The sequence below is a fragment of the Homo sapiens genome, chromosome 14, assembly GCF_000001405.40.
Source record: "Homo sapiens chromosome 14, GRCh38.p14 Primary Assembly".
Lineage (NCBI taxonomy): Eukaryota > Metazoa > Chordata > Mammalia > Primates > Hominidae > Homo > Homo sapiens.
The window spans coordinates 67,575,131-67,601,386 of record NC_000014.9 but is presented as its reverse complement, the minus strand read 5'-3'; the positions used below and the strand labels follow the sequence as shown (position 1 = coordinate 67,601,386).

The 26,256-nt window shown below is 46.5% G+C and overlaps 3 protein-coding genes across 15 annotated transcripts in view, besides 2 other annotated features; 1 reads left to right on the top strand and 2 right to left on the bottom strand.

The window, feature by feature from the left end:
- Window positions 1-26,256, bottom strand: part of GPHN (gephyrin) — a 1,227,209-nt gene that overhangs the window by 133,969 nt on the left and 1,066,984 nt on the right. The window lies entirely within an intron of this gene.
- Window positions 1,119-12,076, top strand: PIGH (phosphatidylinositol glycan anchor biosynthesis class H). 4 transcript variants are annotated; one of them, NM_001440644.1, is made up of 5 exons: window positions 1,119-1,363; window positions 7,435-7,644; window positions 8,672-8,752; window positions 8,951-9,072; window positions 11,215-12,076. In NM_001440644.1, the coding sequence occupies exons 1-5, from the start codon at window positions 1,184-1,186 to the stop codon at window positions 11,240-11,242; spliced, it is 621 nt and encodes a 206-aa protein (NP_001427573.1). In that variant the 5' UTR covers window positions 1,119-1,183; the 3' UTR covers window positions 11,243-12,076. The 4 variants fall into 4 exon arrangements, with proteins under 4 accessions (NP_001427573.1, NP_001427569.1, NP_001350623.1 ...); NM_001440640.1 differs by having other exon boundaries at window positions 8,669-8,752; NM_001363694.2 differs by lacking the exon at window positions 8,951-9,072.
- Window positions 1,122-1,441: an enhancer, noted in NCBI's record as "active region_8583". NCBI's record gives its function as "activates an Ori minimal core promoter by ATAC-STARR-seq in GM12878 lymphoblastoid cells {active_cell/tissue: GM12878}" and the evidence as "EXISTENCE:reporter gene assay evidence [ECO:0000049][PMID:35858748]".
- Window positions 11,775-26,256, bottom strand: part of PLEKHH1 (pleckstrin homology, MyTH4 and FERM domain containing H1) — a 56,323-nt gene continuing 41,841 nt past the window's right edge. For 4 of the 10 annotated variants that reach the window (XM_011537009.2, XM_017021499.2, XM_011537015.3 and 1 more), the window contains 15 exons: window positions 25,915-25,995; window positions 25,382-25,648; window positions 24,884-24,992; window positions 23,973-24,085; window positions 23,188-23,364; window positions 22,756-22,853; window positions 22,076-22,253; window positions 21,511-21,666; window positions 20,349-20,449; window positions 19,177-19,318; window positions 17,504-17,646; window positions 17,263-17,392; window positions 15,733-15,819; window positions 15,290-15,436; window positions 11,775-14,313 (listed from right to left, as the gene is read on the bottom strand). In XM_011537009.2, coding sequence (XP_011535311.1) covers window positions 14,152-14,313; window positions 15,290-15,436; window positions 15,733-15,819; window positions 17,263-17,392; window positions 17,504-17,646; window positions 19,177-19,318; window positions 20,349-20,449; window positions 21,511-21,666; window positions 22,076-22,253; window positions 22,756-22,853; window positions 23,188-23,364; window positions 23,973-24,085; window positions 24,884-24,992; window positions 25,382-25,648; window positions 25,915-25,995 — 2,091 coding nt within the window. In that variant the 3' untranslated portion in view covers window positions 11,775-14,151. Of the gene's footprint in view, window positions 14,314-14,490; window positions 14,578-15,289; window positions 15,437-15,732; window positions 15,820-17,262; window positions 17,393-17,503; window positions 17,647-19,176; window positions 19,319-20,348; window positions 20,450-21,510; window positions 21,667-22,075; window positions 22,254-22,755; window positions 22,854-23,187; window positions 23,365-23,972; window positions 24,086-24,883; window positions 24,993-25,381; window positions 25,649-25,914; window positions 25,996-26,256 lie in introns of those variants that run through there. The other 6 variants (NM_020715.3, XM_017021501.2, XM_047431621.1 and 3 more) reach the window with 4 other exon arrangements.
- Window positions 17,059-17,108: a silencer, noted in NCBI's record as "silent region_5859". NCBI's record gives its function as "represses an Ori minimal core promoter by ATAC-STARR-seq in GM12878 lymphoblastoid cells {active_cell/tissue: GM12878}" and the evidence as "EXISTENCE:reporter gene assay evidence [ECO:0000049][PMID:35858748]".

Genomic DNA, 26,256 nt, shown 5'->3' with positions numbered 1-26,256 from the left:
AAGACCCTCTTGGATCTGACCCCTACCTGCCTCCCCAGCTTCCAACTGTTTTCCCCACACACCAACCTTTCTCGCCTTTTGATTATTTCATTAAGCCAAGCTTGTTCCAACTTCGAGGGGTTTGCCTTTCCTGGTCTTTCTTTCTGGCAAATTCCTCCTCCAGAGCTCCTTCAGTCCTGTCTGGCTCGTCACCCTTGTAACTCAGTGTCCTCTTACTTAGAGACTTCGCCTGACTGCCCTATGTAAAGTCCTCAGTCCATCCCTGCCAGTCAGCATAGTATTGCCAACGATACTCTCTTATTTCCATATTGTCTCCTACTAGAAAGGAAGCTGCCCGAGGGCAGAGACTGTCATCAACATCGTTCACTGCTGCATCCTCAAGCACCTCAAACTACCCGGCACAGGAAAAGAGTAAGTGAAATGAATACCCGTGGGCTCTCCTTGCGGCTCACTCTGGCTTAGAGAAATCGGCTTGCCAAGCAAAAGCATGATTAAAACTGTGGGTTTGGGCTGGGTGCGGTGGCTCACGCCTGTAATCCCAGCACTTCGGGAGGCCGAGGCGGGCGAATCACCTGAGGTCAGGAGTTTGAGACCAACCTGGCCAACATGGTGAAACCTGTCTCTACTAAAAATACAAAAATCAGCAGGGCGTGGTGGCGCGCGCCTGTAATCCCAGCTACTCAGGAGGCTTAGGCAGGAGAATCGCTTGAACCCGGGGGAAGCAGGTTGCAGTGAGCCGACGTCGCGCCATTCCGTCTCAAAACAAAAACAAACTGTGGGTTTGTTTTGAGACAGGGTCTTGCTCTCTCGCACAGGCTAGAGAGCAGGGGCATGATCTCCGCTCACTGCAACCTCGACCTCCCAGGCTCAAGCGATCCTCCCGCCTTGGCCTCCCAGTGCTGGACTACAGGCCTGAGTCAACGCGCCCGGTCTAAAAACGATTTTAATCTTTCCACTTAACTATTGCCCCGACGAGGTTTTTTCGAAGACAGTCAAGGCCGGCCCGGAAGAACGCACAACCATCAGCCCCCAGCAGAGCTCTCGGCGCGCAACTGAGGCTGCGCAGGCTTAGGGCGGGGCGTGGTGACGCGGCTGCCGGAAGCGGGTCTGGAGCGGGCGAGACGGCCAGGGCCGGCGAGCGCAGTGCAGCGCCGCGCGGTGCGGGCGGCCGAGTGGGGGCGTCATGGAGGATGAGCGGAGCTTTTCGGATATCTGCGGCGGCCGCCTGGCGCTGCAGCGCCGCTACTACTCCCCGTCCTGCCGGGAATTCTGCCTCAGCTGCCCTCGGCTCTCGCTGCGTTCGCTCACCGCTGTCACCTGCACGGTGTGGCTGGCGGCCTACGGACTCTTCACCCTCTGCGAGGTAATGGCAAGTCGGCCCCTCCCCGCGCTCGAAGGAGGGGGTTCGGCTTTGGGAGGGTCTTTGGGGTCTTTGGTCGAGCCCGGACCTCTGGTCGGCCCCTCCTACAGTGATAGGACAGGAGGGCGGGAACTCACGGGTTCTGGGGACGATATTCCGCTGCTGGACAGCTCTTTAAATGACGTTTAGTGAAATGTGTGCTCCTGGATAGTACATTCCCCTTCCGTGGCTGTGCTCTGCTCCGTGGGTTCACTCAGCATACATCTAGTTCTTGCGCGACGGCCTAAAACTTTAACTGCCATGTGTTCTATGTAGTATAGGCGCGCAGTAATTTAATTCCAAGAGTTCAAGGAACTACTAAGTGGGTCTTCCTCGTCCATCCCTTCTGCTCCTCAAAGTAGTACTGCTAACAATACTTTACGTAGACTTCCACAAACTGTCTTTGCCTCCACAAGTGTGTGTGTTTATCTGTGTGTATAGATAGAGTGTTATAGTTCTTCCTAATCTCTGTTTTTCAAGGGAGTTTTTTAACCCTCCCTCCTCCCAAACCCTTCCCCAATTTCAAGTACTTTCTAAAGGTTTATGAAATTTTGGACGTGTGTGATAGCTGTGCTCAATTTCCAGATTCATTCCTGTTTTCTCTGAGCCTCAATTTTCTACATCTCTAAAATAGAATTCATGCCTGCCATACCAGCTTCATGATATTGTGAGGGTTAAATGCAGTAACTTTGTGACAGCTCTCAAATAAAAAGAATTATCCTAATTTTCAGGATAAGTTCTAGTTTCATATGTAGTGCCTGAATTGAATGTATTATCCCAGAAGTGATCTAATCAGAGCTAAGTACAGCAGGGCTATTTATTTTTGTAACTTGGATATTGTTTCCATTACTGCATCCATTCGCTTTTTTGCTGTCAAAGCGTGTTTCAGAGCATGGTAATTTAGCATAGAAATATGCAGAATTAAGACTGCCCTAATTGCAGGAAACTATCTAACTATCTAAACCGTATGTTTGTTCAGGCAAAGCACTGTACCTCACGCCTGTAATCCCAGCACTTTGGGAAGCTGAGGCGGGCGGATCACTTGAGGTCTGGAGTTGGAGACCAGCCTGGCCAACATGGTGAAACCACGTCTCTACGAAAAATTCAAACATTAGCTGGGTGTGGTGGTGCACGCTTGTAGTCTCAGCCACTCGGAAGGCTCAGGCGGGAGAATCGCTTGAACCTGGGAGGTGGAGGTAGCAGTGAGCCGAGATCACGCCACTGCACTCCAGCCTGGGCAACAGAGGGAGACTCTGTCTCAAAAAAAAAAAAAAGTTTGTTCATAAGTCAGTTAAAATGATGATTAAGTTGACTTGATAGCCCCCCTAAAATTTAATTTATTGTATAGTTGAATTTTAGTACTAGCCTGAGTTCTTATAGCCTATGTATGTGGTCATGTGAGGAGGAGGAAATAGATATTTATTAAATGCCCACTGACTGCCAGATGCTTTACTGAATTCCTTACTTTAGCCCTAGAACGAAGGAAACCAAGGCTCACAAAGAGCAATGACTTATCCAAAGTCTCAAAGCAGTAAATGGCAGATCTGGGCTTCAAACCAAGGGCTTTCTGACTCTGAGACCCTTTCTTTTCCTTTATACCATTGTATAGCTGATCTTAGGCAAAATTTAAAAACAAAAGCCTGCTTTTATGCCAGGTCCCTTCTGTACTTGTCTCTCTCATGCCGGTGTACTCTGCTTACCCCCATCAAGTACCCGAGGAATCAGTGACCGCATCTTCCTTTAAACTCTACTGCAACACTTTCTAAGGGCTCTGTGTGCCAAAATTTCTTACCTTTCCTATTCAAAACTGTTTATGAGAGTAATGAATATCTGGAATGAGAAGAAATCTGATTGAAGGAATTCATTCAAACATACAGCTTAACCCCAACCCAAATTAATATTGAATTGTTTGAATTCTACACAGAAAAATGAAGTTGAAAAAAATGCAGATAGTAGGGCACGGATTGCTTTTATTGGAAAGCTGACATGGATCAAATCCTTAAGGATTTATTGTTCTTCATCCCTTCATTCCTTCTTGTTTTTGAGTTCACAGTTCTATTAAAGTTCCAGGTTGTTCCCTTGTTTATTCCAACCTGGAATGTTCTTCCCCCTTCCCTTTCAACTAATTATATTGGTCACTAACCACCACTTCCCCTACACCAATTAAATCCTGTTTCCTTGGATGTGATGGGATATTCCTGTGTGCTTTAATGTCTTTTTTTTTTTTAAACTTTTCTTTTGGCACTTATAGTCAGTATCAGAGTATCCTCCAGAATATTTTCTATGTATTAATCTTGCCTTTAATACATCTATAAGGGTCAGGGCTGAATTGTATTCCTCTCCATTCTTCTTAATGCTTATTCAATGCAATTAATTAACTCAAAATTAGATCTTTCTGGATCATCAGAGACCCAGTACTGAATCCTCCATTCATCAATCAACAAATAATTATCTAGCACAGAGATAAGCAAACTTTTTTTTTTTTTGAGACAGGTTTCTTTGTTTTTTTTGAGACAGGTTCTCACTCTGTTGCCCAGGCTGGAGTGTAGTGGTGTGAATACCCCTCACTACAGCCTCAGTCTCCTGGACTCAAGCGATCCTCTTATCTCAGCCACCTGAGTAGCTGGGACTACAGGCATGTGCCACCACACCTGGCTAATTTTTGTATTTTTTGTAGAGACAGGGTCTCACTAGGTTGCCCAGGCTGGTCTTGAACTCCTGGCCTCAAGCGATCCCCCCATGTTGGCCTCCCAAAGTGTTGGGATTATAGGCATGAGCCACCATGCCTGGCCCAAACATTTTCATTAAAAGACTAGATAGTAAATATAGCAGGTTCTGTGGGGTCTGTCTCATAATATTCTTTTCTTTCTTTCTACAACCCTGTAAAAACTTAAAAATCATTCTTTGCTTGAGATGGGCCAGACAAAACCAGACCACAGGCCCAAATAGTTTACAGATCCCTGATCTAACACTATGGGTTAACTATGAAAAAGTAGAAAGAGACCATCAAAGAAAACCAGAGCTAGTGAGTAGTTGAAGTGGTACAAAAACCAGATGTTATTCAGGAACTATTACAGTAGGGGAAAAGAGACTTCAGTATAGACTTCCAAATTTCCTCAGTTCCGAATATAGCATGGACAAGTGGAGATTTATAGCCAAGGAGCAAGGTGGGAGTCAGTGGATGGAAAATTACCCAAAGGAAACATCAGGGGCAAGGTGGGATTCTGGCTAAATTGACTTGACAGGATTCTTGCTGAAGGCATGCCAGGCTGATCAAATACCAAGGGTGGGAGTTCTTTCTAAACTGATTCAGCAAGATTCTTGCTACAATTGGGTGGGTAGTGCAGGCCCAACAAAGATGTCAAGGTCAGGGCCTAGACAGCTTAGAGGAACCTGACTAGAAGTAGATAAAGGAGGGCATCTTGTCAGTGCAAAGAATAATAAGACACTTCCTGCCCTCAAGGAATGCAGTCCAAAATTACAAAATTTCTTTGATTCTAGGTCATCAATAATTTTTTTCCTGTGCCAGTCTTCTAAATCATAGCTTTGCCGGGTGCGGTGGCTCACACCTGGAATCCCAGCACTTTGGGAGGCTGAGGCGGGTGGATTGCCTGAGGTCAGGAGTTCGAGACCAGCCAGGCCAACATAGTGAAACCCCATCTCTACTAAAAAAAAAAAAAAAAAAAAAAAAATTAGCTGGGCGTGGTGGCGGGTGCCTGTAATCCCAGCTACTAGGGAGGCTGAGGCAGGAGAATCACTTGAACCCGGGAGGTGGAGGTTGCAGTGAACCGAGATCACACCATTGCACTCCAGCCAGGGAAACGAGTGAAATTCTGTCTCGAATCAATGAATGAATGCAAGCTTCTGGGAAAAAAGATAAAACAATGCCACATGAAAGAAACACACACCAATAGGAAAACACATTTTAACTTCAGAAATGTTAAAGATTATACATTGGTCTTAGAATCAAGGGAATAAATAATAGACACCATTTTTTGAGCCCTTAACACATCACTTAGTCAACTGTAAGTAACACAGAACAACTAAAATAGCCTTAAGAGATAAGGACCTTTTATATTAACAAGAAGTCATAAGGTAGGAGGGCTCCAGAGTTCACGTGGAGACTCATTTGATTCCGGCTCTTGTCATCTTACTGCTGACACCCTTAGTGTGCCCTACTTGTCCTCCACCTGGTCCTCCAAGTGCAGAAACTGCACTTCCACCCTTAGCGTCCTCTAGTTGTCCTCTACTAGCTCTCCACTGGGTCTGGCAGAGGCCATAGTAGTTCCAGGTATCTAAACCTCATGATGAAGGGAACGTCTCTTCTGCAGATTTTTAAAGATAAACTCAAGTTTTCCAGAAGCCCCTCCAGCAGATCTCCCCTCACATTTCATTGGCCAGAGTTGTGTCACATGCCAATTTTTAAAGCAGTCATTGGCAGAAGGAGTGGGAACCAATCATGGTTCACTCACTGTTCAATTGGGGCTGGTGGGTGGCTGTTTATTAGGCAAGCCATAGTATCTGCTACACTGTGCTAAGCACTTTATAATTGTTCAGTCTATGATTTTGCACTATATACAGATGGTTCCCAACTTACGATGGTTTGACTTAGGATTTTTTTGACTTTAGGATGATGCGGAAACAATACAAAGTCAGTAGGAACGGTACTTCAAGTAGGAACGGTACTTCAAGTACCCATACAAACATTGTTTTTCACTTTAAGTATAGCATTGAATAAATTATATGAGATTTACCACACGTTACTGTAAAATCAGATTTTATGTTACATGATTTGCCCAACTGTAGGCTAATGTAAGTGTTCTTTTTTATTTTTTTTATTTTTATTTTTTTTAGACGGAGTCTCGCTCTGTCACCCAGGCTGGAGTGCAGTGGCGCGATCTCGGCTCACTGCAAGCTCCACCTCCTGGGTTCACGCCATTCTCCTGCCTCAGCCTCCCGAGTAGCTGGGACTACAGGTGCCTGCCACTACGCCCGGCTAACTTTTAGTATTTTTAGTAGAGACGGGGTTTCACCGTGGTCTCGATCTCCTGACCTCGTGATCCGCCCGCCTCGGCCTCCCAAAGTGCTGGGATTACAGGCGTGAGCCACCGCGCCCGGCCTAATGTAAGTGTTCTGAGCACGTTTAAGGTAGGCTAGGCTAAGCTCTGATGCTTGATAGGTATATTAAATGCATTTTTTAATTTTAATTTTTTATTTGAGTGCTAGAACTAAATATTAAATGCATTTTCATCTTATAATGGGTTTATCAGGACATAACTCCCTCCTGTATTCTGCTGAGGGAGTGTGAAAGGAAAAGATTTGGGGTCCTTTTTTTTTTTGAGATGTCTCACTCTGTCATCAGGCTGGAGTGCAGTGGTGCGATCTCGGCTCACTGCAACCTCCGCCTCCGCCTCCCAGGTTCAAGCGATTCTCCTGCCTCAGCCTCCAGAGTAGCTGGGACTAGAGGCACGTGCCAACACGCCCAGCTACTTTTTGTATTTTTAGTAGTGATGGGGTTTCACCATGTTGGCCAGGATGGTCTCGATCTCTTGACCTTGTGATCCACCTGCCTTGGCCTCCCAAAGTGCTAGGAGTACAGGCGTGAGCCACCTCACTCGGCTGGGTCCTTTCGATTTTTAGAGACAGTGTCTTATGCTGGTACCCAAGCTAGAGTGCAGTTCTATGATCATAGCTCACTGCAGCCTCGAACTCCTGGGCTCAAACGATCCTCCTGCCTCAGCCTCCCTAGTAGCTGGAATTACAGGTGCAAGCTACTGCGTTCAGCTGATTTAGGCCCTAAAGTTGGAATTTTGGAAGAAAAATTTCTGAGATTGCTGTGATGGACATTTTGCTGATGGAGGTTTCCCCTAGACCTATCCATTTGTTGTCTGGATCTGTTTCACTGTATACTTTCATAGCACCTTAGAACCCAAATAAAAGCAATTTCCTTTTCCTCCATGCATGTTCCCCTCATTGCCTGGAGTTGACTGGTACCACTTGGTAATCTTACTGTCTGTGTCTGGCTCTCTCTTCAGAACAGCATGATCCTCTCTGCTGCCATCTTCATCACCCTCTTAGGTCTGCTTGGTTATCTCCATTTTGTGAAGATTGATCAGGAGACTCTGTTAATCATTGATTCCCTTGGCATTCAGATGACTTCATCTTATGCTTCAGGCAAAGAAAGCACTACCTTCATAGAAATGGGCAAGGTCAAGGATATTGTCATCAATGAGGCCATTTACATGGTAAGTATTTAAAAGGTAAGTATTACAGGCCTCTCTGGAGGAGGTAGCCAGCCCATGGGATGTTCCCAGATTTAAACTAAAACCGTAAAAGTGAGACTTATATTTAAAAGGTAAATCTCTTTATTTTTAAAGAGATGCAGCAGGTTTTCATGGATAGGGAATTAGCATTTCAACTTTATCTTCAAGACCAACTTCAAAATTATCACTGGCATTTTTTCCTTCTCTTTCTATCTTTTTTCTTTTTTTTTTTTTGAGACAGGGTCTCACTCTGTTGCCCAGGCTGGAGTGCAGTGGCTCGATCACAGCTCACTGCAGCCTCAACTTCCCAGGCTCAAGCCATTCTCCCACCTCAGCCTCCTGAGTAGCTGGGACTACAGGCATGCACCACCATGCTTGGCTCGTTTTTTCTATGTTTTGCAGAGATGCAGTCTCACTATGTTGCCTAGGCTGGTCTTGAATTCCTGGGCTCAAGCCATCCTCCTGCTGTGGCCTCCCCAAGTGTTCAGTTTACAGGTTTGAGCCACTACGCCTGGCCCTGTCTTTTTTCATTTAAAGAATGAGAATATACTTTTCTTCCACTTCAAAAGCTATCAAGTGTTCTACTACTTAAACATTTGTGAAAAAGTGTTGAGCCTTCCCTTAGAAAAATAGAATGTGGCCAGGTGTGGTGGCTCACGCCTGTAATCCCAGCACTTTGGGAGGCCAAGGCAGGCGGATCACCTAAGGTCGGGAGTTCCAGACCAGCCTGACCAACATGGTGAAACCCCATCTCTACTAAAAATACAAAAAATTAGCCGGGCATGGTGGCGAGCGCCTGTAATCCCAGCTACTTGGGAGGCTGAGGCAGGAGAATCGCTTGAACCTGGGAGGTAGAGGTTGCAGTGAGCCGAGATTGCGCCACTGCACTGCAGCTTGGGCAACAGAGAGAGACTCTGTCTCAAAAATAAATAAATAAAGGAAAAAGAAAAAAAGAATGCAAAATGAGTTTCACTTAGACTTTGCTATTTGATTTATTTTCTTACAGCAGAAGGTGATTTACTACCTCTGCATCTTATTGAAAGATCCAGTGGAACCACATGGGATATCCCAAGTAGTACCCGTCTTCCAGGTGAGCATAGAATACTTTTACCATTCTCCAATTACTCCTCAACCTTTTCATTAGGAATGTAAATTCCTTTTGTCAGAGTATTGGAAGATACCTGACAGCTGTTTTGAGTGATAATTAGGATTTCAGTTATTTGAGAAGTTCCTCTCTGAGGCAAATGTATTCCTTAAAAATATTCATGCACATTTTATTTTATTTTAGAGACAGAGTCTCACTTTGTCACCTAGGCTGGAGTGCAGTGACAATCACCACTCATTGCAGCCTCCACCTCCCAGGCTCAAGAAATCCTCCTGCCTCAGCCTCCTGAGAACTTGGGACTACAGGTGTGCACCATCTCGCCTGGCTAATTTTTTTTTTTTATTTTTAGTAGAGATGAGGTCTTGCCATGTTGCCTAGGCTGATCTTGAACTCCTGAGTTCAAGCAATTCTCCTGCCTCAGCCTCCCAAAGTGTTGGGATTACAAGCATGAGCCAGCATACCTGGCCTCATGCACATTTTAAAGAACACAATCAAATATATAGCAACTTCTGCCTATAAATCACCATTCATCTACTTTGACTCTGTCAGTCTACTACTGTACACTTTTTTTAGATAGAGGTAATTGATCTTACATTGTACACTATTGTGTGTCTTGCTTTGTAAATAATTTAATATGTATGTATCCTACAAAGGCCATTATATTTATTATTTTAAATAATTGTATAATATATTGAAATATCAGTTTATTTAGCCACTCTTGCCAGCTTTTAAAATCATGCCTGGGTTTTTTTGTTTTGCTCTTACAAAAAAAAAAAAACACTTATCAGCTGGTGCAGTGGCTCATGCCTGTAATCCCAACACTGTGGGGGAGGCTGAGGCAGGCAGATCACTTGAGCTCAGGAGTTCGAGACCAGCCTGGGCAACATGGTAAAACCCCCATCTCTACAAAAAATACCAAAATTAGCTGAGCATGGTGGTGCACATCTGTGGTCCCAGCTACTGGGGAAGCTGAGGTGGGAGGATTGCTTGAGCCCAGGAGGTCAAGGCTGCAGTGAGCTTTGATCATGGCACTGTATTCAGCCTGGGTGACAAGAGACCCCATCTCAAAAAACAAAAATTATACAAACATAATAAATTACAAAATAATAAATTTAGAGGTAGGTATTTATGCATGTATTTATGTATACAGTTAACCCTGCCTCACTGACCTTTTTCACAAAGGATTTAAGATAAGCCAAAAATTATTTTGCATTGTAATTCAAAATTATTTTATTAAAGCTTATGAATAGTTTTATAGATTTCTAGTGTTTAAGATCGGGCTCCAGAGATTGGACAACTTTATCATACTTTGGGGATTTTGTACTTCTTTTTCTACCATCCTGGCTAATAGTGGATTTAGCTTTTTTAGCTTAATATGTAGGTAAAGGCATTAAATTTGTATCTCTTTAAATGATAGGCTTTTCATATTTCCTTGTATTACCTATCAGTATTTCCTCTTACTTTAAACTACCTATCTTCTCTATTAGTCAAGTAGAATCTGAATATTATGTATTTGTATCTATTTTTATATATTTTTAACAATTCTTTATATATTTTAGGTAGTGCACTTTTATTAAATATACTTTCACATATATTTTTTCCATTCTGTGGCTTTTCTTTTAATTTTGGTTATTACATTTCATTGTGTAAAACATTTTTCAATATTTACATATTAAACTGCACTTCTTGTGTTTGAGGGCTGTTTTACAACTTGTGACATTTCTCAAGGGTCCATTTTGTTTTTCCTCTTGCTTATTCTTAGAGATGGAGTTCATGAAATTTAGACAGATTAAAAAGCTATCATTTGATCTCCCACCTCGCATAGTTCACAAGCTGTGCTGTAAGCCTAGCTGGGACTCTTTCCAGCAAGGTGTGCTGAGGCCTAAACTTCTTAACTCCATGAGCTCACTGCTGTGTCATTTATACCCCTTGATGTGGGTGAGAGATTGAAGTTGCATGTGGTCCCGGCACCATGGCTCAAGCCTGTAATCCCAGCACTTTGGGAAGCCGAGGTGGGCAGATCACTTAAGGCCAGGAGTTCAAGAGCAGCCTGGCCAACATGGTGAAACCCTGTCTCTACTAAAAATACAAAAATTAGTTGGGCATGGTGGTTCGTGCCTGTAGTCCTAGCTACTTGGGAGGCTGAGGCACAAGAATCATTTGAACCCGGGATGCAGAGGTTTCAGTGAGCCGAGATTGTGCCACTGGGCGTGGTGGCGAGCACCTGTAATCCCAGCTACTCGGGAGGCTGAAGCAGGAGAATCACTTGAACCTGGGAGGCGGAGGTTGCAGTGAGCCGAGATTGCGCCACTGCACTCCAGCCTGGGCAACAGAGCAAAACTCTGTCTCAAAAAAAAAAAAAAAAAAAAATTTGCAAGTGGATGCAGCACCACTGCACTCCCTTATATTCTCACCTTGACTCCGCATTTCTCCCCTTTGGAATTCAGAGTGCCAAGCCCCGGCTGGACTGCTTGATTGAAGTATACAGGAGCTGCCAGGAGATCCTGGCACACCAGAAAGCCACATCAACAAGCCCATGAGCCCCAGCGTTCAGAAGGCCAGCATTGTCTTCCATGGGAGATGACTCTTAAGCCATAGGGGCTGGTTTTCCGTACTCCAAACCATCAGGTGGACACAGTCCTAGGAACCATTATGGATGTAGTGCATCTTAGAGCCATAGAGCAGGTGACTGGAAATCTAACTCAGTATATTTCCGTGTATTATAGTGTTTTCCTTGTAAGGTTTTGCCTACTTTACCAAAGGAGGGGAGACCTTAAGAATTTTGACACAGTATGTCAAAAGTAATGTCAGCAAAGAACACTTTCGGAAATTGCTAAGCATGTTCAGGTTTACTTTGTTGATGTTTGTGAAGCAAAACAATGGGAAACTGACATCAGATGTCTTGAGAAAGCTATATTTTCCAATAGTACCCCTTGTGTAAAGTTACGAAAAAAACAAGCCCTTCAGTACTGGTTAGCAGGAAGAAATGTCCTACAAAAGACGAGTCTGTCAACCTAGTGCCTGTGTTCTGTACAGGGCTTATTTATTTACTGTTAATAAACAGATCTTCCAAAACACACAGTTACCTGGTTCACAGATAGCTGCTTTTTATTGACAAACAAGATCATAGTATTTCAGTCATGGTGTCAAGCACATTAATACTTTTCTGTTACTCAGCATTTTTTTTTATATCAGTTCAAAAGCTACTTTTGCCAAGAAGGATGAGACAAAAGGCCAGACAGAAATTGGACTTTGGTTTTCAGACATGGGACTCTCATGTTAACAAAGAATAAATAAGCAAATATTGAATCCTTTGTTTCTAAGTTAGTTTCTTCTGTATAAGATTAATAAACTAAAGGGTTCCTGAAGGGTTGGGGAGGAGAGAGGGTGGGGGAAATAGATTGACCCCAAATTCAGTGTGAACACAGCTCCATTCTTGTTTACTCTTCCTTTGGACTCCTACTTTTCTTCTAAACTCTCTGGGTAGATAATGTTATCCTTATTGGCCTTAGAGATACCCAAGATATTATAAAACCAGAGCTGTTATGTCTGTCACCAGCCCTGCAGGAATTATTCAGGAACCTGTGGTACATGTGACTTGTTCGAGGTAGAAATGTCTCAGCTAGATCCCCAAGTTGTGGGGTGAAAAGTGTGAACAGAAATGGCTGTAAAACTACTTGCCTTGCAAAGTCAAGTACATTTAAAAGAGGCAGAAACTTGGATGTGCTTCTTTTTTCATCATGCTTGTCAGTTTACGGGGTGAGAGAGGAGAAGCTTACAGCAGCTGAGGTGTTCAGATAAACTAGTTCTGGCCTCGCAGTTTTTGCTGTGCAAAAGATACACACATTGTTGGGGTTAAAGGCTTGGTTTTGGGTGCTACTGCTAAATATACAGTTTTCAGCACTTTACTGACATATAGTAAGGCTGCCTTAGAGCTAGGAAATAAAACTCAGTTTCCTAGATGTTGGAAAATCAGAGTATGAACTCTTTCGTTTTGTTTTTGTTAGGGGAGGGTGTGTCTACAACCTGTCTAGAGGAGACTGTCTAGTCTCCTCTGCACTCAATCAGAAGGTCTGAATTGAGGGGGATTATGGTATTATCAGTAAGGCAAAAGATGAAAGAAACTTTTTTTTACCTGCTACTCTTAGGCTAGGGCAAATGTCACATATGTACCCTCACCCTCAAACTAATTCCCAGCAGAAGTTTGCCAGAAGTCTCAAGGAGCATATCCAGGCCCACATGCCTGAAATAGTCTTCTGTGTTTCTGACTCATTTTTGGTGGTCTTACAGCAGCAAAAAGCAGAGTGCATTTGCTTGGTCTTTTACAAGAAGAAGGAAACAAATGATGGCCCACTACAGTGAACACAGCCTTCACCGAGCGCTGTCCAGTCATTAAAATGAGACAGGGAGGGGTCAGATTGGACCTACCTCCTGCCCTTGCTTGCACATTGCGTGGTACTGGGTTTGGCCTAAAGTCCAGTGTGAGGAAAACAGCTTGAATCTTAGCAGGTATAGCATGTTATCCTGCAAAGACTGCCCCAGAAGGGGCTGTACCAATGCCTACATACCAATAATGGGGAAAAATGAGTCTATTCTTTTTTCTCCAACTCTGTCAGCACCTTTCCCATTTGGGAAAGGCAGCCCAGTTTAGTGAGTTCTAGGCTTCTGACAGAGTGTAGGAGAATTGGAAATTTTAGTCCTATCCTGTTTAGCGACGTTCACAAAACTTCAAGTATAAATAAGACCATATACAATATTAAAAAATTAGCTTCTGGGCTGGGCGATGGCTCATGCCTGTAATCCCAGCACTTTGGGAGGCCAAAGTGGGCAGATCACCTGAGGTCAGGAGTTCGAGACCAGCCTGGCCAACATGGTGAAACCCCGTCTCTACTAAAAATACAAAAATTAGCCGGGCATGGTGGCGCACACCTGTAATCCCAGCCACTCCGAAGGCTGAGGCAGGAGAATTGCTTGAACCCTGTGGACTGGGTGACATAGTGACACTGTGTCCCCCGCCCCCCCCAGAAAGAAAATTAGCTTCCTTGAGAGTACCAGTGCAGAAAGCCTTAACTTATAGCACTGATGCCCTCAGTAACAGTGGATCATCCCTGTCTATGTCTAGAATCAGGTAGCATCTGGAGTCATTATTCTTATGAAAAAAGGAATAAATGGTTTTAACACTGGGTCTGGATTTTAAAAAGTTGAGCCCTGAAACATTATAAGGCACCTAGAGAGTAAAGGCTTCACAGAGACTAAAATACACATTTCACAGAACAAGAGTAGCCGGGGGCTGTTAGACCCGTCACAGTAGTATCATACCCTAGGATATATATCTCTAAATCCAGAGGCACTAGTGGTGTTGGGGAATCGGGTAGGAGAAATATTCACAGCAACGTTGGCCCCTTGGTAGCACAGGAAACAGAAGAAAAGAACTGTCGTCCATCCAGTTCCCACAGCTGGCAGGCTCCGGGTGGGTTGGTGGGGGGGTTCACAGTTGTAGTGCAATGGTTCATATAGCTGGCCATGATGAAGGTAGCTTCTGCAATCTAAGAGGAGGTCAGAGATGTGAAGGAATTGAACTAGCCTTGGCTTGAATCCTGGCTTTCTTACTTATTAGCTCTTATGCTGAGTTCCTGGGCCTCAGTTTATTTAATCTCTTAAAATACCCACCTGGGAGAAAATATCCAAAGGGAATCATAACTGTGCTGTTCAGAGGCCCAGTGGTGTGGGCTCCTGTTGGTCTGGAGATCCTCTCAGATGCACAGTGCCCTTCTGAGAAAAGGAGGCCCAGTGTTCTGCTCTGGTTAGCTCTACAACCAGGGAAGGGGCCTTCTTAAGAAAGGGATCTGGAGATCCTCCCCTTTAGCAGGGGTGGTATTAAAGGAGGAGTAGGTTTGGCAAACTCTAACTTTAGGATTAAAAAGGAGAACAACAGGGTTTCCAGTTAATCACACGGGAGTCAGGAACAATAAATCAGAACTTAGCCTTTGTAATTATTATTTTTGCTGGTCAACACTTCCTGTATTGAGTAGGAACAAAGTCACTAAAGCAAAAGAGGTCTTTTTGCGGTCTTCCCCACAACAAGGAAGAGGGAGCACTGTGGGACTGTCCCACTTTGTAGCTAATGTTGGGTCAGCAGAACCCAGGGGTAACATGCGAGCACCTTAAAGAGGAATCTGCCCTGCCTTGAGGACTGCTGCAAGGAAGAGAAGAGCACGTAAGCACCCAACTGAGGACTGCATGATGCTGGGGCTTGAGAGAATAAAAAAGAAAAAGTGAAGAGCATAATAGTAGCTAGGCCAGAGTTAGTTCCCTCCAAATATGTCCCTTTACCTACTAGCTGAACATTGATACGGAGATGCAACACCACCTGAACCTTTGGAATACTAATTACAGACAAGACCAACAATTTTATCTGGGCAGGGCCCTTGCAGAGCACTAGCATAACCCCAGTTTCCTTTCTAAGCTCCAAGCCCACCACATCTTGCCAGAGTAGAACGTTTTAACAGCTGTCAGACCTACCTTGGGAGCAGCCATCCGGAAGATCAACTTCTCAATGTGGCTTTTTCCAGAGCTCTTGTCTGGGATAGATCTAATCACAAGCATGAAGTCATCCCTGCAGCCACCAAACGTTGTCACTGAAGAGTAGGGGTAAGTGATGTGCACTTGCTGTGGAAAGGAACCAGTCAGTTGTGGGGAAACTTTCCACCTGTCCCCTGAGCTAGGAACCAGCATCCCCTGTCTCTTCTAGGCACAGGAAAGGAGAACTCCCAAGTGGTCATAATTTGGAGATCTCCATCTTGAATATCTACAAGCAGTGTCTAGACTAGAGGACTGGTGCTTGGGCAGGAGTGGGGGTAGGGCAGCCATGGTCACTTGGTTCAGGCTTTTGAGTCCACAGAGGAGAAGAAAAGACCATGTTGAGGAAGAGGAGGGGTCAGGGAGCAGCCTGCATCCTTTCATACCATAGTGTTGTGGTCCAGGATGCTGACGCCATCCTCATTCACAGCAATCCACACCAGAGCGTTCTCCTTGGAAGACAGCTGGGCAGGCTGGGGAAACAGAAACAACCCATCAGATATATCCATAGTTAGAGATTTTGAACTATAATAACTTTCTGAGAAAGAAGGCACATCCAGGGATCTGCTAAGCAGTGATTTCCAGCCACCTCATCTTGGAAAACAAAGATGATATTTGTACAGTGTATGCAGGAAATAGACAAGGCTGCTTGTGACAGGAGACCCTTGGCCTTGGGGCTCTGGCCACCTACTAACCATCTCAAAGGCAGAGGCGATCATTCTTTTGATGTCCCTAGAACCCATGCTGCCACAGCACACTGGATGGAAAGCTCTGTGCTACAGAATAGAGGCCAGCCCTAGCTGCTCTGTTAGGGGAATGGGGAACAGCTGGTTTTCTCCTAGTCTTGGAAACACGGCATTCCACCTATAGTCTCCAAGCCGAAGTGCTTCTGACTTCAGCCAATCTCCTAGGTGCTGTAAAAGAAATAGGAAAGCAAGAATGCAGTCCTGTGGCTTTAGGCCCTATCAGTAAGAAAGTGACTATTTAGTGGACATTCCTGTAATGACTAATTTTCACTGCCAGGACTACAGTATGGTAATCCAGAAAATCTCTCTCTTAACCCAAAGGGAGGCAGATAGACATTGGACATGCCACCTTTTTCAGAAGCTTTTCCTAAGCTCCCAGACCAAGTGGGTCCCTGTTATATGCCTTTATAACACCTCTGTACATCTTCATAGCATTTGTGATGGCTTATAAATATATATTAAATACATAGAGAAAAAAATGAATACGATTATTTGATGAATATACATCTCCTGCACTAGATGGGAAGCTCCAGGAAGGCAAGGACTGTGTCTGATTTTCTCACTTCTTATAACCTCAAACAACCAGCACTGGACATAGTAGGAGCTCAACTATTTGTTGAATGAATGAATGGCCATTTTCCGATCTGTGGCTTCAGTAAACAGGATCACTGCCCAGCTTTGAGCTGTAATTATCTATAAAGTTTATGCACAACAGACACCCAGTGAAGAAAAGTTCCTTCTGAAATTACTGTTGGCCACCTGGCCTTCATACAGAGGTGAAATTAACTGTTGGCTAAGTAATTTGATTCCCCTGTATGCCATGTCAAACCAGTGGAGATGTATTTGTTTAGGTTATACATTGTTCTTTCAAACTTTAAAAAAAATGAAAGCACTCTTGAGAGGGCTGTTATTTCAAGTCTGAATCTTTGTGTGTGTGAATTAGTTGATCACATCTTTTCTTTTGGGGCAGTCAACAAAGGACAAATGAAGATAAGCAATCACAATTCTGCTCTGGACTGTGGAAAGCTGGACTAGGCCAGAAACAGTGGAGGGATAGTGACCTCTGGTGGTTACTGGTATGGAGGTAGGGGCTGCAAATTGGTATGGCTCAAACATGAGCAGTTGGGGACACACCTAAGGGTGTGGGCAGCTCCTTCCACTGGCACTTACCTGAGCAGCAAAAAGTTTAGCACCAAAGAAAGGCCATTTCCTGGCCACGGTCAGGTAGATGCGGATGCACTCAGGAGGGGAGCATCCTTGCAATGTTGCCCATTTTGTGGTCAACATATCTGCCAGGTGCCTGGTGTGGGCAGATGGAGAGAAATAGTGCCAATGAAGTGCCGACGTGTCTTCATTCCAGGCCTGAGACCTCCCCACAGTGACTTGCTGCAAGACCTTGTAGCCTACCTACCTCAGCTGTTCAGCGGGGGCCCCATGTCTATAGCGCCTGGGGTGGAACCTGTCTAGGACCTGCTGGAGAAGATGCTGAGCCTTGGCAGGGGATGTGCCTCCAGGGCCTGGCAGGGCAGGCTTCTCCAAGTCCCCATATTCTACCTGTGGTAGAAGCATATGAAGAGACCAGTCAAAATCTGACAGTGGATGGGCCAGGTGGGGGCTGTTGAGAGGTGAAATAAACCATTTCTTTATTACCCTATTGGTGGGGTGCGAGTGGTTGTGAAAAATACTTTAGAAAAACGCTTCATCTCAAGTTTTATAGACACTAGAGAAACAAACTTAGGGCCCTCGAATATTAGAGATCACCGACCAACTTTGATTTTGCAGCTGAGGTGAAGTGCCTTTTCCAAAGACACAGTTAATTGGTAGCCGACAAGGGAAAACAATGTGGAAATTCTGGCTTCCAGTCCAAAAATATGGGCTATAGAATTGAAGATGCTACAGATCCTAGAGTACAGCAGAGTGTTCCAAATGTGGCCTTTGGAGTTGGACACCTGGCGCAAATCCCAGCTTTGTGTCCCTGATCAAGTTACTTAAACTCTCTGAGCTTCAATTTCCTCATCTATTAGGTGGGAATAAAAACTACAATGGAGGATGCATATATGCTTAGTACAGGGCCTCCTAGAGAGTATTCCTATTGATATTTATAAAGATCAACTATTACTGTTTCCTCTTCCTTTCCAGCATGTAAATCCAGATTCTTATTCTTTTTTAAAAATTTTTAATTTTTAATTTTTGTGGGTATATAGTAGGTGTCAGACTCTCTTATGGGAGTCATGAAGGTATCCCAGATACCTTTGGCAAGATGGCCTTCTAAATATAATGGGAAGGAGAGTCCAAGTCTGAATGTGTGTTCCTCTTCCTAAGTCTACTTAGAAGGTCTGATGGTTTATGAAGTTTACCACATACATTACATGATACAATTATCCAGGTATCATACTTAGTACAACCCTGTGGAGGCTGGCAGAGGTTTTTGTTTGTTTGTTTGTTTTGTTTTGTTTTGAGACAGAGTTTTGCTGTTGTCGCCTAGGCTGTAGTGCAATGGCATGATCTTGGCTCACTGCAACCTCTGCCTCCCAGGTACAAGTGATTCTCCTGCCTCAGCCTGCCGAGTAGCTGGGATTACAGGCGCCCACCACCACACCCAGCTAATTTTTATTTTTATTTTATTTTATTTTATTTTTTTTCAGTAGAGACAGGGTTTCACTGGTCAGGCTGGTCACGAACTCCTGGCCTCAGGTGATCTGCCCGCCTCGGCCTCGCAAAGTGCTGACATTACAGGCATGAGCCACTGCTCCCGGCCAAGTATTTTTTATTTTGGTATACTGAGAAGGAAACTAAAGCATAGAGAAGTGAAGTGACTTGGCTAAGACCTCATAGTTGGAAGGTATATAGGACTCAAACCCAGGTCTCTGGATTCCAAGTCCAGCCATCTGCACGCATCCTATATCTGCGGTGAGTGAGGAGCTCTGATCTGTAGAAGTCAGCTGCTTTCCATCCCAGAGATGGCAAAGCTGCCCTCTCCTGAGCACCACAGGATCTGCAGAATCTCTCCTGTGTTTCAGGCTGCATGGTGCATTCATTCTAAGCTGGCAACCCGACCCTCCTGCTTCCTGAACAGAACCTTACCTGGGCCATCAGGGCAGCCATCTCAAGAGCCAATTCCTTGTTGATAGGAAACCTCCCTGCCACTATCTCTCTACTGGTTTGAGAGGCAAGGAGCAGCCGTTCTCGGTCCGTCTCCCCTTTGACTTGACTGCGAAAGTACAGCCTACAAAGAAGAGAATAAGAAACCAGGACTCAGCAGGGATTCCAAACAGGGATGGGGCTTTCTCTGGGTCTGTTACCTTTATTTCCAAAAAGATAAAGTACTCTTTTCCCACTATTTATGAGCCTATTTTGTATTGCCTCCAGAAACATATAACCGAGTATGACACAGAGCAGATGCAGGGTCATGCTGATCTCATACCAACAGGAGGGCATGGTTCATTCTGAAGATACCATTAAGCTTACTGGATTTAGTAAGGGAAATCTGGTACCTGGAGTTATAGATTAGGGGACTGGATGAGGTAAGAGTCCAAGAGACTACTGGAAACTATTTGCCTGGAGACATACTGAGATGGAGGGATGGGATTTTCTTACTCAAATTGATAGAAAGTCAGGATGTCTACTTCTGTATTTCCTGGAATTGGTATAGGAAGTACTTAGTCTTTAGCTATAACTAGCTGGTGCTTATACAAAATTTCACTCTCATAAAGTAACACACTTAGCCATCCCATGAGGTTGGTCTATTTTCTATTCTTTTCTTTTTTTTGAGGCAGGGTCTCACTCTGTTGCCCAGGCTGGAGTGCAGTGGCGTGATCTCAGCTCACTGCAGCCTCAACCTCCCAGGTTTAAGTGATCCTCCCACCTCAGCCCCCCTGAGTAGCTGGGACTACAGGTACATGCCACCATGCCCAGCTAATTTTTGCATTTTTTGTAGAGGTGGGGTTTTGCCATGTTGCCCAGGGTGGTCTGGTCTGTTTTCTTGGCAGATGTTTGTGTGTGTGTGTGTGTGTGTGTGTGCATATACACACACGCACACGCAGTATAGGGAAGGCTGACAGAAGGCCTGAGCTGCCCAGGGTTTCACAGAGTATCAGCAGCAGAGCCCGCCTGCACCCCAGCTAGTGACTGCCAGGCAGTGTTATATCTGTGGGTCCCTCCCCCCGTCTGGATAGGCTGTCTAGTCGAGGAGGCGATGAGCTGGCACCCAGTGGCAGCCCTTGTGTTTGGCCCCACCCTCGTGCAGTGCTTAGGACCTGTTCTTGTACATCAGCTTCACGACGCGTGTCCCACCCTCAGACTTTCCGGGGTGCAGCTCCTTCATGGCTTGTTCCCACTTGGAGATGGCATCACAGATCTTGAAAAGGCAAAAGAAGAAAGTCAGAAAATTTCCTGATAAGGAGAGAAGGGATCAAGGTCCAGCCAGGGCTGGACTCAGAGCAGAAGAGCAAAGAAAACTAAGGAAAAGTCCTCCCACCAGGAGGCTGACCTGCGGAGCTTCATGCTTCCTGGACCCAAGGTGGCAGCAGCTCCCTCACAAACAGAGGGAACCCTGGACAGGGTGAGCAATAAAGCAAGAAATCTGCCCTGCTGGTGTCACCAGCTGAGGGGCCTCCCCAGAGGCTAGGCAGCCCCATGGCCTTCGAACACCAGCTCCATTTCCATTCCACTGACTGCTATTCTCCTCTTCAACAAATATGCCCAGAGGGCTACCATGTAACAAAGCCTCACAGATGCCCAGACATTGGCAAAGAAGGTATGTGGCATAGTTTTTCCAGGCAATGTTAAAAGACCATAGAAGCCTTTGTCCTGTTAAAGACAAGCAAACACTGGAGCCAAATATGCATCAAAGTGCTAGAGCACATTCTTACAAACACTTATCCCCCAGGACAGTAATCCCAGACCACAATACAAGATTGATCTTAAATCCCATCCAACGGCCTTTACTTATAGGAGCACCATAAGGACCTGCCTCTTTAAAAGTGTGGTTCAACCTATAAGCATGGCATAGGCCCTGAAAGAAAGGGTAAAAGTGAGGTGCTGGGTACCACCTGACATCCAGGGGGTCCAAGCACACAGCTGTGAGCCTCTGAGTGGGCACGTGTAGGCAGTGGCTTCGTGGGGCCTCACTGTCCCTACACCAAGCCAAGAAGAGGCTTTTCTTCTGGACGCTGCACAGCCACTCGAGGGAAGTAGGTGTGTAGCGATCTTGTCTCCAGAGACAAGGGCACACAACAGCTTTTTTCTCCCTGCCCAGGTACATTTTAGGATGGCACAGAAATGCTGACTAGGGCAGCACCTTGGGCTCAGCACCAAATGAGCTACCAAACAGTCAGACACCCATCAGATGGGCTCTTTCCCCACCACCAATATCCCTGAGCAGGGAGGGGCTCAGCTGGCTTAGTGGGAGGCTGTCACCTTGACACTTCCCTGCAGGCAGTGCTCCAGGTCCCTGCCCGAGGGATCGTCCGTGAAGAGGGCAAAGCCAGAGTGGGATGGCTTTCTCATGCCTATCTCCTGGTTCAGCCGCTGGAGGAACTCATCAACCGTGGAAGAGCCGTCAAAACCAACCACCTGAGGCGGGAGAAGAGTTCCAACCCTGAGTGAACCTCCTGAGAGGAGCTCACTAGGGCTGGTGGAGGTGTCTGGATACAGCAGGTGGAAAGGAGCAAGGGCAAATACAAAAGGCCAAAGCAAGTTGGTTTCTGTGTTCACAGGCAAAGGGCCAGTGCATGAGGGATGTGAGCTTATCCACTGTAAATGAACTGGGCATACCTGGGTCCCTCCTTTACCAACAATCTTTTGGAGGCCCTTTCTTATTTCTTGGTCAGCATCTCAGCTTCCCTGTTCATGCAGTGAGTTCATAATATCTACTTCTGGGGCAACAGTGAACAATCTGCCAAGCCTGAGCCTAAGGCCCAGGGGTATTCTCTGGATGGTGACGTGAGAAGACTCGGGGCAAAGAGCACGCCCAGCTCCTCACATGGTAAGTCCCGTTGGTAAAGTGCACGGGGATGCTGAAGGGCAAGGAGTGGTGGAAGGGGTTACGCAGCAGGATGGACACCACTTCCATGCGCGATGGCCTGGCTTCCCGCTCCCCGGTCCGCAGGGTCCGCTCCACTGCCCGCTGGCAGTAGGTGGCATACTGGCCAGTTTCACTTCTAAAAAGACGGAAGAGGGGAGTATTATGGGCTCTGCTCATCTCTGCCACTTTGGCACCCCGGATCCCTATCTAGACTCAGCCAGGACCAAAACTGTAGCTGGGGCAGGTTGTGAGAAAAGCCCTGAAGACTCTGGTCTGGGACATTAATTTGTCATTCAGGACCTTTATATAGCAGGTTGCTGGCATGGATATTTTCTTCTAGAACCCAGAGGACATAACAACAGAATAGCACTTGGGGACAGTTTGGGAGCAGTGTGGCTTCATGTGAGAGTTGCCACAGTACATCCGTGGATACATGGATTGGCGTGCAGAGAAGCTTAAGCATGCCCAGATCCACACGTGCCCATTTGTGCACACGGCAATGGGTGAAGTCTCCACGACCACTGAGCGGTTTCAGAGGACAGGAGTGATCTGGTCTGCCCTAGACTCCTCTCATCCCTCTTATTCATGCGGCAGTTGGCAGTGCTCAAGTGGCAGAGGAAACGGCCAGGTTCACTCACCTGGGATCTGCATGGCGTTGGAGCTGCTGCTTGACATACCAGAGGAAGTGATGCTGAGGCAGGAAAAGTGGAGCACACAGAGCGAGGAGCTGCCAGCACTGCCAGGGACACAGACAGCGTGGGGTGAGTGCTGGGCCTACAGCACCACCTGTCCTCATAGCCCTGAGCTACAGAGCCTTCAGCACTCTTTCCCCAAACCAGAGCCCCCAACTTGCTCTGGGTGCTGGGATGGCCAACTTGGTCAGGCTGTGTCCAGAATGCAATCACCCATCTGTGCATAGACAGCTCAGCCGTACTGATGCAGCTTGGAGCACAGAGGCTGCCCGCTGGCTGGGCTCACCGTATACCTGCCCAGTCACCTCCTCCCACCTTTCCCACCTGGCAGCCCTTGCCAATGGCTTCTGTCAGCTGCTCCACCCCTGGCATGCCTACCTGCATGAGGGAGTACTTCTGAGGTGGGCGGCAGCTGGTCTGCTTCATGAGTTGGCAGTAGATCTCACTCTGCAGCTCGGGGTGAACCAGGCAGACCTGCAGTGCGGTCTGGGCCAGGGACACATGGTAGTCCACCGAGGCAGCTTCCACCGGCACGTTGATGAAGAGCTGGCAGGACTGGGAGGGAACAGCAGTGAGCACAGGCAGACCAGCATCCCCTGGGTTCAGAGAACTCAACGGCTTGGCCATTTTCCAAGGGCTCCAGGGAGGTTAGAGTTTACTGACAGCCCTTTCTAAGAGGGAGCACTGCTACTGTTGGAGGGCATCTCTGCTTACTAAAAGGGGCTATGGGCTACTTTGGGATAGAAGTTTCCTTTTTAAAATGTTCTCATTACATTACATAAACAAGACAAATTCCTTAAAAAAAACAAAAACAAAAACAGAAAACTCAAACATTCACAAAGGACATGCTAAAATAGGTCCGAATCTCTCAGTCCAGAAGCAACATAAACCTCGCCTTTTCTGCTTAACTACAGGAGGAGGGGAGCTCCTCCAGGGAGAGTTTTCATTGGCATTTCCCAAGGACTTGTGCATGACGTTCCAGAGCTGCTTCCCTCCCAGTGACAGGATTACATTCCTGCCATCCAGGAAGTGATAGGGACCCTGGGAAGTTTCCTTCCCTTCCTCTCCAGATCCCTCTGTGGGTTGTCCCCAACTGCACAGGCCTTCTCCACCCAAGTATTGCAAGTATCCCAGCGGTGGGCCTGGCCGCCACCCCAATTTACCTTGAAGAGCTTGAGGGCCTCCGTCTGCAAGGCCTCAGAGGGCAGGGTGGTGAGGGAGGCGTATAGGCCGTCTTTGCTGTAGCACAGCATGGGGTGCCTCCAGAGCGGCGAATCTGCCCAAAGCACGGAACCAGAGAGCAAGGGCAGTTACTACTGAGAGGGGACTCATCTCCCACTCACCGCCATCTTTAATTTATGGGGAAGATAGTGGTTTATCTTCCGTCAACACTTGGGTTGTGCTGGGTTTATCATCCATAGAGTGTGGGGTGTACAGGTGGGCACTGCAATGAGCACCCTCATATAAGCATGGCCTTTCTCGTGGAATGGCAGTAGGGGTGAGTGTGCAAGGTTGTGGGTGTCTGAGTGCAGGTGGATGTGTGCAGGGGAGGCCTCTTTCTTACTGTGTCAAGTCTGGATGGAGGGGCATATGAATTGGTCAGAAACAAACAAGCCTCAGAGCAGTAGTAAAGGGGTGTGTGTGGTATATGCCATTAATTAGTTCCTCAGGGCCCTGATAATCAGTAGCAAAAGAAAGACTCCAAACAGGTTAGTCCGATCCCAATTTAGGCTTCACTTGTTGATTTACAAACTCTAACTATAGATTAACCAGCTACCTTCTTTCCTCAGCCCTCTGCCCAGCCAGCAACGGGGCAGCTTGATCCAAGTAAAACATTTACCCAGGTCCCTGGAAAGCCTGCTTCCCAGATAAACTCCCCCAGATGCAGAGTGGTCACCTTAGTATCTCAGCCGGAGACAGAGGGGCCCTGGAGCTTGGATGGGAACTTCCCCTCTGTGGCTTAGATGTTTTAAAAACAGCTTCAGGGTACAACACTGCTTTCTTTGGGATCTTGACCAATAGTCACCAAGCCACTACCCTCCAACCCAAGCAGTGGTGGCCACCCTTGCCTTACCTGGATCTCCTTCACCATCCATCAGTTTTCCAATGAGCTGCTCATAGGCAGTGCCCACCTTGGCACTGCTGCCACCTGCAGCCACTGTGAGGTGGTAGAGCCACGTATCCTGGAAGAGGGCGGAAAGCCATCGGATGGGGACGGGGTGGGAAGAGTGGAGGCAAGAGCTCCAAGGAGGACTCCTTGAAGGGACCAAGCCCATGTGGGGTTCAGCTAGTTTGGTTGGCATGAGTCAGGGCTACCTGGAAAGACTGAGGATCAGGTGAACATGAACCCAACTTTCCAAATTTGCGATTCTATTACATGACCTCAGTGAAGCAATGTTGGTCACTGGGAATAAATTCAGTATAAAGGAATATTCCCATTCAGAGAATATTAGTTGCCAAAGTGTCCAAAAGGAAATAAATTTGAATTTTGGGAAGCTCAGGAGAAAGAGAGAAGGGAAGATCAGAATCACAGGTCCAAGCTTGGCCCTGGAGGCCCAGCCCTCTTCCTTACCTTTTCATGCTTGGTGCCAATGAGGAGGTAGGTGGGGCTGTGCTCTGTGGGGTGGATCACCAGGGTGCAGTGGGAGGAAAGCAACCGTCTGGTTCCTCCAGCCTCATAGTCCTCGTCTGAGTCACAGGATCGATCTACTTCCTCTATGTGCGCATCCCGCACAGGCAGGCAGCCCAGGGGTCGCTGTGGACAGCAGTCTTCCATGAATGGGAGAGCCAGTGGGGGATGAGGGAGTCTCCTCTCTCTGAATACATAGGCTCCGTGAAGCTGGGAATCGTGGATATGGACCGATGACAGGATGGGGAGGTGGAGACTATAGCATCCCAGCCAGGCTGGCAGCAGAATGAGGCTTGCTTGGAGAAGCACCAGAGACCCAGACAGGCAGAATCTCACACTCTGGAGGGATCCAGCCAACTGATTTTGTATTTATTGTGGGGTTACGTGGGGTAGGGACTTTCATCAGGACATAGAGTGGCAGTCATGTGCTTCGGGGGAAGCAGGAGAGTGGGTATTGTGAGGAGGCTGAGAAGTACCTTGTCCTCATGGCTCCGATAGTAGTAGAAGATTTTCCCAACAAGAGCGCACCAGACCACCTTGGAGTGGCCATGCTTTACCTGTAAGACAGAAATGAACTGGCATTATGAGAACTAGGTAACTCTAGAAGTAAATCCAGGACTGGCAAATAGAAGCCACAGGGAGACAGATTTGACCTATGGTAGAGATGGAGATGCCATTTGGGCTCCCTACTAATGGAACCACCCCTTTCACAGTGAGGGTGCCATGACACCCTGTGGCACCCCAGCCATCATGGGCTATTCAGTGACCTATGACCTGCCATGAAACGATTAGCCAGGCCAATCAGATGTCCCCTCCAG